Source organism: Homo sapiens, chromosome 3 (genome assembly GCF_000001405.40).
Source record: "Homo sapiens chromosome 3, GRCh38.p14 Primary Assembly".
Classification (NCBI taxonomy): domain Eukaryota; kingdom Metazoa; phylum Chordata; class Mammalia; order Primates; family Hominidae; genus Homo; species Homo sapiens.
In genome coordinates, this window is record NC_000003.12 from 72458316 (window position 1) to 72467433 (window position 9118).

A 9118-nucleotide genomic window follows, 5' to 3' on the forward strand; every position below is an offset into this window, starting at 1 on the left:
GAATATTAACAATAAGCATATGAGGTAGATTATATTACAGTGCCCCTTTTATAAATTAGGAAGTTAAGAAGCAGTAAAGTTAAGTCACTTACCCTGAGTCGCACATCTGGGAAGTGACTGGGCTGAGACTTGAACCGAGGCAGCTTGGGCTCCAGAGTCCAGGCTCTGAAGGAGCTAGTTAGTCAGTTATGATCATTTCTATCTTCCAGATGCGGAAACTAAGACTTAGACACTGGTCCAACCCCACAGCCAGGGTGTGGCAGAACCAGAATTTCCAGTTCTTTGTACTTCATCACAAACCAAATCCCTGGAACTCAAGAATCCTGAAAGTTGTTAACTGAAGGAAGGAAAGGGGCCCACCCGGAGGAGGAAGGGCAAAAATCTATTTATACACAAAACAGCTTTGCAAGGGGGAGAGGCACCTGATATAAAAGTTTTGGGTCACTTGAAGCATGACAGGAAGATGGTAAAATGGAGCCAGAATCTGAGAAGGCTGGGAAGAGGGGGAAGTACCAGCTGCAGAGGTTTGAAGGGCGCCATGTCCCTCACCTCTTCAGAGCTTCTTCTCCCTGTTGCTACCGCCAAGAGAAGAGAGGTAGGGTATCTTGCCCAAGGTCACACAACTGGGAAGACAGTTGGCGGGATGCATTCAGGTCTCCTGACTCCAAGTCCATTCTCTTCTTACTTTTATTTTTAGTCTTGACAGATATTTATGAAGTACCTACTATGAGCCAGATACCACGTGCTGACAATACAAGGATCACGGACACTGCAGGCCTCACAGTCTGGAAGAAGGAGGCACATGAGCAGGTGATGGGAACAGGGAGGTGGCCGGGTGATTGGTCACTTGTCACCCTATGTTCTTTTGTCTGCCAGTATTTTCCCCTTTCTCAAGCAGACTGTTGATGCTGCCCGTCTTAGGAAATGTGGCAGAGGAGAAGCAAAAAAGGCCCGTCAATCTCTGCCTCTCGTGTTCCCTGATCCGTAATTCTAAACCCCCGAAGTCCCTGGTAGGAGAACTGAGAGTAGGTGGGGGATAGACAAATGTTTGGAAGGAGGAAGGTCAGGGGAGTGCTTCCTCCAGGCACCGGGGAAGGAGAGAAGATGAAAAGTTCATAAGGTAGAGGGGGCTGTGGGCCAGAGAGGAGGGGGAGCCTGCCTACAAATGGGGCTGTGGGAAGGTGGCCGGACCCCGGAGCAGGAGTGGCAGTGGTTGTGTGTCTATGTACAGGCCACTGTGCAGAGCCTCCAGGATCTCTAGCCTGGGTTGGGCATTGCCAAGACAACTCCTGGACTTGAAGGGGCCATGAAGGGGAAACTAGGGATATCTCTATGGCAACCTGTGATTAACACATGCCCTGAGACCAGATAGACACCCCCCTTAGCACTGAAATTGAGTCAGGATATGGGTTCAAAATAAAAATCAAGGTGACAGAGAGAGAACAATAAGGAAAGACATTTCTGGCATGTCTGAAATTCCTACCTGCTATGTTATGAGAGACACACATCAAAGTGTATGGGAGCATACTGGCCAAGCAGTATGGTTCAGGGAAACAAGTCAGGAAGGGTATCCAAGGTCAGGGAACAGCACATGTGGTGACACTAAGGAGAAGAGCCTTGTGGACTGCAAGGCAACCAGTGTGCTGGAACTTGGAGTGCATGTGGATTGGTGGATGTGAGCATCCAGAGAGGTAAGCTCTGCCTTGAAGCATCTTACGAACCATGCTGATTGGTTGGATTTTATCTTGAAGACAACGGTGGGCTATTCACTGATGATGGTTAGATTTTATCTTGAAGAAAATGATGGCCTATTCACAGACTATAATTGGGAAATTTATAGAATTTACATTGAATTTTTTTAAATGTCTTTAGGAACAATGCAGATAGTAGTAGCTTGGATCAGAGTGAGAAAGGGAACAGAAGACCAGTAAAAATAACAAATAACTAAAAAAGACACGGAGAGGGTTTCTGGGAAAAAATGAAGAGATTTCCAACAGTAAAAGCTGCTGGACTTAATTCATGATTGGACACTCTGGATAAGGCAGAGGGAGGAGTCAAGAATAATACCCAGGTTTCTGACTTGGGTGACTGAGTGGATCGTGGTGCTATTCACAGAGATAGAGTCACAGGAGGAGAGGCTGTTTAGAGGAGGAAATATTGACCTAAGTTATAGATATGATGAATACAGTGTGTTATTTGGGACGCTTGTGTCTGCAAGTAGCAACCACCACAGCAACAACAAACCCATACAAACCGTGAGGAAATGTATTATTAATATTCAACATAGTTGAAAGCTCCAGTCCCAGATGAGGTACAATCAACTTGTTCGTAAGCACACAGATTCCATCCTTTTCTTACTAGCTTCAACCTGACATTGGTTCTCCTCATGGCTGCAGACAGTTGTCACCACTCCAATATTACAAGGTGCAGCATCGAAAGGAAGAAGAGGGACCATTTTTTCATGTGTCTTCTTAGGAGGGAGAAAAACCTTTCCCAGACGTCCCCAGCAATCTTCCCCTTCGTGTCTTACTGGCAGAATTGGGTCATGAGCCCACTCCTAAAATAATCACTGGCTTTAGCCAACCATCAGGAATGAAATGGCAGTTGGGGAGTACACCACCCCACCTCTACAAGGAGGCTGTGTCACATGCAAATGGAGATAGCATGAAAACAGTTGGAAACCAGCATCAGAAGACAGATTTTGGCTGAAGATATCATAGAGGAGTTAACTACAGGAAAGGCTGAGAAGAAGCCCCAGCTGAGACAGGGGCAGAGAGGAGAAAAAGGAGCCAAACACAGAACTCTGGAGAACACCTCTATTTAAGGGAGGGGCTACTTGAGAAGGCACCATTAGAGTTTAATAGCTGAGAACTTGACTCTGGATTCAAACAGACCTAGGTTGGGATTCCCATTCCTGCTACTTATTAGCTATGCCGCCTTGGGTGAGGATCCCTTAATCACTCAGAGCCTCAGTTTTCTTATCTTTTTTTTTAAATTAAATTTAATTTAATTTTTTCTGAGATGGAGTCTCGCTCTGTCACCCAGGCTGGAGTGCAGTGACATGATCTCGGCTCACTGCAACCTCTGCCTCCCTGGTTCAAATGATTCTTGGGCCTCAGCCTCTCAAGTAGCTGTGATTACAGGCGTGTGCCACCATGCCCAGCTAATTTTTGTATTTTTAGTAGAGATGGGGTGTCACCATGTTGGCCAGGCTGGTCTGGAACTCCTGACCTCAAGTGATCTGCCCGCCTCGGCCTCCCAAAGTGCTGGGATTATAGTCATGAGCCATCACTGATGTTTTCTTATCTTTAAAATGGAACCAATAAGCCCAGGAATGCTATGAATTGTTGATACGAAGAGGCATACAAAGCCTAAACACAAAGCCTTCAGTCCACAGTTGCTACCCCATAGCTGTTGAGGAAAAAGAGAGCAGCCTAGAAGAGGGTCTTAGAAGGAGTGATGGAGAAAGCTAGAGGATAGCCAGGATGGGATGGTGTCATTGAAGCCACAGGGTAAGAGAACTTCAAGGAGGAAAGAGTTGGCAATTATGTCATCTGGCTGAAGAGAGGTCAGGTCAGAAGAGGGCTGAAAAATGCCCTTTGGATTTAGCAATTAGAAGGTCACTGGTACCCTTGACAAGAACACTTTGAGTGGAGTGCTGGGGCTGGAAGCCAGGAAGCAGGGGTCAGCGGTCAAGCCCGGAATCCAAGCTGCCTGGCTGCCAACGTCAGTGTTCTCTTTGCTATGCCAGGAGCTGCTTCCTTTTGAGAATTCCCATTGAAGTCATGCCTCAAAAATACTCATTTGGAGAGCACTAAACAGTACGATTCCACAATCTGTGAATGAAAATGGCCCCTCTTCATCTTTTTAAATTTTTTTGTGTGGATAAAGCGAAGGTGGTTGTTTCCTTTCATTAGAAATATGTTATATCCTTTTGGAGGGTTTGTATTTACCATTTCATTGATATATTCTTCTTTCTTATATAACATATTTTGCAAAAATAAAAACAAACAAAACAAAACCCAAACAACATATGTGCTTTGCATGAAACTCAGAAAGTTCAAACCCCTCGCTCTGTGTACGTGTTTGAGGCAAAGTGTGGGACTAGGAAAACTCTAGGAGAACCGTGCCACTTGGCAAATCCTCCTTTAACAAATGATAGCAGTTGCATTTAAGATTCATTTGGTCATACGGATCATGTTTGTCAGGGCTGTCATTAAAAGCCTAATATTTCCCCCATTGCAGACTGTCTCCGAGTAATCCAAACGTGGGCAGCAGCTAAGCACGGTCAATTTCATGACCTCCTTCCTGCTACCCACCTCCCCCTCCCAGCTATCTCAACTCCCAAGTGGATGATCCCTCATCCCTAGCAACAACTGCAGCTGCTACTGTTTCTTGACTCTGGCGAAGAAAGTGGGCTTGGGGCCAGGCCTACTGTCCAGGGCTCCCAGTGGAAGATGCTAGAAGAGGGCAGCGCACACTCTCTCACCGTCAGTGACCCAAGTTCATCACCTTGACCAAACATCTGGATTACAACACACAGAGTTCAAAGGTCCAGAGTGTGTGTCTGCACCTGGCCAGGCTGTTTAAACGGAGCTGACTTAAACCAAACACCAGACCTCGGTGCTGTTATTTATGTGGAAGATTGGATGCCAAGTATAAATAATAACTACAGCATCTTCTCTCCACAGGCTTTGTGATTAAAGGATGCATATAAAGGATGCATATTCACCATCTACTGTGCATGAAGAGCTACCCACCTCTACTCTGAGTACCAGACTCTTCTCCCTAGCAGGCAGATTTCCTTTCTACCAACCGTTTTTTAATGTTTGTTTGCCTGAATAGTATCGAGACTCCCTTCTGCTGTGGAGCCCTCACTGGCCTCTTCATTTCAGGTCATCAGGTGGAGAGCACGCTGCAGAGAGGACTGTTCCCATGCCCAGGAGAGGCTTGCGAGTGAGCTCCGTGTAATCACTCACTGGCAGAATGCAGTGCAGGGGGCTGGGGTTACAGTCAGCGAGGAGCGAGGCACGATGATGCTTTGGAGTGGAAGTGAGCTTTCAAATCTCAGCAGCCCTGAGTGATTCCTCCACTTAGGGCCAGTGTGTGTGTGATGGGTGTGGTTGAGAGCTGCCAGGGGCACAGCAGGCGTGGCAGTAGAGGGACAAGTTAGACCATGAGGTTGCTGGGCACAGCACTGGACTTGGTTTTTCTGTTTTTAGAAAGAGCCCTCAAAATAGAGCATCATTTTTCCCACAAACATGATTTCACCTATTGTCTTGATTGTCATTGTTATCCAGTGTACTAAGTACTAGGGAACAGGGCCATTTGTGATAATATTATGAGGGAAGAGAAGACAAGGCTCAAAACCCCAACTAGGATTCTTCGGTTAGAGAGAAAGAAGTGATTGAATGGGAGCATTCAATCATTCCTTCGTTCGACACATACTTACTGAGCACCTATTATGTGCCAACACCACGCTGGTTACTAAAGCTATAATGATGAAGATGACAGATGAAGTTGCTCCCATCACAGAGCCCACTCTTCCATGAAGCTAGACTGCATGCCTACTGGGTGCCATGCCCTCCTAGATAACAGCCTTTGGAAGCAGATGAGACAATCAGACAAGTCACTTCAAAAATGTGTCACAAGCTGGGCGTGGTGGCTCACGCATGTAATCCCAGCTCTTTGGGAGGCCAAGGTGGACAAATTGCTTGAGGTCAGGAGTTTATTACCAGCCTAGCCAACATGGTGAAACCCTGCCTCTACTAAAAATACAAAAATTAGCAAGGCATGGTGGTGGGTGCCCGTAATCCCCGCTACTCAGGAGGCTGAGGCAGGAGAATTGCTTGAACCTGGGAGGCAGATGTTGCAGTAAGCCAAGGTATCACCGCTGCACTCCAGCCTGGTGACAGAGTGAGACTGTGTCTCAAAAAATAAAATAAAAATGTGCCGTGAGTGTGGTGATCAAGGAAGACCAGGAAGCTATGGATGATAAGAAGGAGACCTGGTCTAGTTTCATAGTTCTCTACTGGGGGAAGTTACTCTCCACAGGTGACATTTACAGTGTCTGAAGACATTTTTGATTGTCACATGGGTTGGCGGGGTTGCTACTGGCATCTAGTAAGCAGAAGCCAGAGATGTTGCTAGACATCTACAAGGCACAGGTCAGCCCCCGCACAAAAAGAATTATCCAACTCTAAAGGCCAGTAGTGCTGAGGTTGAGAAACTCAGGTGTGGTCCTTGGGTCAAGTAATGCTTTTGGGAAGAAGTGCAGTTTGACTTGAGAACTGAATGATGCCAGGAGTTCAGAGTGCTGAGAATTGATGTCCACCATCTAATCAGAGGAAATAGTGGAAGGAAAGAGGAATTCACAGGAGCTTGAGCTCAGGATACAGAGACAGTGAGGGGAGGTCGTAGGAGACGAAATGCAAAAATCAGTGTGTACTCAGAGAGACTAGAGGGCCTTCTATGCCGTGCTATGAAATGTGGACTTTATTTGGAGGGCATGATGGCTAATACAGTCTCCACATCATACCCCCCCTCACATACACACATACCCTCTTGGACATTTTTAAAGCCAGTGAGATGATTCAGTTTGCTTTTAGAAAACCCACTCTACCAGCAATGCAGATGATTGGAGAGGGAAGAGATTGGAGGCAGGTGAAACCTTATGCACTATAGAAATGATAAATGGAGGCTGTTGCAGTGAACATGGGGAAGCTGCAATAGACTCCTGAGAATAGAGAAATTTTTATACTTGGTGATGAATTGGATATTGGGAGAGAACGAATTGCTTAGGATGACTCTGGGGTTTCTAGCTGTGGGCTAGTATGAGTGGTGAAGTGTGTTATAGAGAAGCTTGTAAAGGGACACAGTTCAGTTTAGGAAATGCGATGTTGACGGTCCTATGAGGACATCCAGTTGGGCATGTTCTGCTCACATCTGGTGCTGCAAAAAGATCTGTCTATGAGATATGAATGGGACCATTGCTAGCACCCACAGATGGTAACCAAAATCTTAGAAGTGAAAGCAGCATGCCAGGAAAGTGCTGAGTGAGAGAAGAGAAGGCAAAGGGCAGAATGTCAGGGTTCGTAGGTAGGTAAGGAGGCAGAAAGAAGGGACCACAGAGGAGGGGCCAGAGAAGTAGAAAGAAAGAGCAGTGAGGCCCACTGAGGGAAGGATTCACTTTAGGAATGAGAACATGGTTAAGCTGTTTAATGGAACAGAGGTTCAGCAGAATGCAAAATCAGATGGAGCTATTGGACATGTCAATCAGGAGGTCATTGATGACCTTTTCAACAACAGTTTCACTTTAATAGTGAGGGTGGAATTTATTTAAAGACACTTGACTACCCAAATGTAGAGGAAGAAAATAAGAACAGAATGTCTTTATATCTCAGCAGAATTTGAATAGCAGTCATTTTCCAGGCTTGGCAAACAGAAAAGGAGTATACTGATTAATTAGCAGAAAACCAGATTAACAGTAGCCCAAATCATAAGAACAGTTATTGTATACTAAGAAAGAAGTCTGGAGAGCAGCAGCCTCCAAGTTGATTTGGCAGCTTAGCAATGTCATTAAGAATCTGGACTCTTCCTATTTTTCTGCTCTGCCATCTTAACAGTGTTGGCTTTTGTCCTCATGCTTGTATCTCCCTCATGGTCCCAAAATAGCAGCTTGCAGCTCCAAGCATCCCATGACGGTAGCTAAAGCAGGGAGGAAGAGGGCAGGGACCAAGATGAGGCTCACCTCATGTTCCTCTCTCCTTTTATTATGACACTTCCCCTTATGTCTCATTGGCCAGAATGCATTCACATGCCCTCACCTAGACCAACTAAGGTAAAGCCAAATGAGACTGCCATAAATGGCTTGCATTAATCAGGCTTTTTACCCTGGGGCTAGGCACGTGGCTGCCTAAGCAAAATTTGTGTTCTGTTCACAAGGGAGGAGGGGGACTCGCAATGGGGGTGGCCACCAATGGTGTCTGCTGCAGGAAATCATCCTTTCACAGGGTGAGGGCAAGCTATAGAGGGCAAACCAGAGGCCTTACAGAATGAGGCAAGCCCTTGGAGAGCTTCAAAAAGAGTAATTCGCTTCTGTAGTTGATATTCACAGCAGAAACATTTTAATATCCACCATTAATAGCATACCAATGTTGGGCAGAAGGCTGATTGCTTTGCAGAGCTTATATTCTACACCCCGTAATACCAAGAGCTAGGTAGTAATTATGAAGATGGTGCTGATGATAAAGTGTTCTTATTGATTGCTTACTATGTGCCAGGCACTTTATATTCATTATCTCAATTAATCCTCAAAATACAAGTGAGATGGATGCTATTAATATTTCCATTTTGCAGAGGAGAAAACTGAGGTATATGGAGGTCCAATAATTTGCCCAGTCTCTCAGCTAGCAGCATCCAACCCACAGCTCTCTCAGCCCAACCTCAGCCCAGCTGACTGCATTCTACTATCTCCTTACATAAAAAGAAGTCGCTGGAAGGTTTTGTTATACCCTGGAGGTGGAAGCAATTGCATGTGAGAATGGAAAATCTGCTGCCATGAGCATTCTCTAGGAGTGTCCTGAGTTTTCAGCAATTCCATTTTCCCACACAACTTTGTAACTAAAGCAAATACATCGGACAGCCCATTCTTACCAGCTTTGCACCCTTGTTAACAAGCTCACTAGTCTTACATTGTACTCCAGGGACCTGGAGAACGAGATCATTAAGCATGCTCACCGGATAAATGTATGCCATGGCAACCAGAGGTTCTCCTTGGTTGGAGCAGCCACACAGATGAGATTTGGGGGACAGTGAACAAATTCTGAGGGGATTCACACTGAGGAAACAGGGGGCCCCCAACAAAAGAGTACAAAAGCTGTCTTGGATGTTCAACATGTTTCCAACCAGAATTGAGGTTTGCATCTTGATTTCTGAGAAGAAGAGCTGGCATTTCTGGGTGTTATGTTCTTGGCTCTATGCTAAGCATTCTATTATACATGCATCAGCTCACTGAACCTCACAATGAAGTTATGAAGAAGAAGCTTTTACCATCTTTGTTGAGGAAAATGAGGCTTAGAGTGTTTAATGAATTTGTTTAAGGAGGTACAGCTAGTGA

General features: G+C 45.6%; 1 long non-coding RNA gene across 1 annotated transcript, besides 2 other annotated features; it reads left to right on the plus strand.

The window, feature by feature from the left end:
• Positions 1 to 305: 305 nt before the first annotated feature.
• Positions 306 to 5260, plus strand: LOC105377160 (uncharacterized). The gene is made up of 3 exons (XR_940961.3): positions 306 to 595; positions 698 to 810; positions 4692 to 5260. It is a non-coding gene; the product is annotated as an uncharacterized LOC105377160 (long non-coding RNA).
• Positions 4403 to 4697: a silencer, noted in NCBI's record as "tiled region #11074; K562 Repressive non-DNase unmatched - State 23:Low". NCBI's record gives its function as "weakly represses a minimal TATA promoter and a strong SV40 promoter by Sharpr-MPRA in K562 cells {active_cell/tissue: K562}" and the evidence as "EXISTENCE:reporter gene assay evidence [ECO:0000049][PMID:27701403]".
• Positions 4403 to 4697: an enhancer, noted in NCBI's record as "tiled region #11074; HepG2 Activating DNase matched - State 8:EnhW". NCBI's record gives its function as "activates a minimal TATA promoter and a strong SV40 promoter by Sharpr-MPRA in HepG2 cells {active_cell/tissue: HepG2}" and the evidence as "EXISTENCE:reporter gene assay evidence [ECO:0000049][PMID:27701403]".
• Positions 5261 to 9118: the final 3858 nt, after the last annotated feature.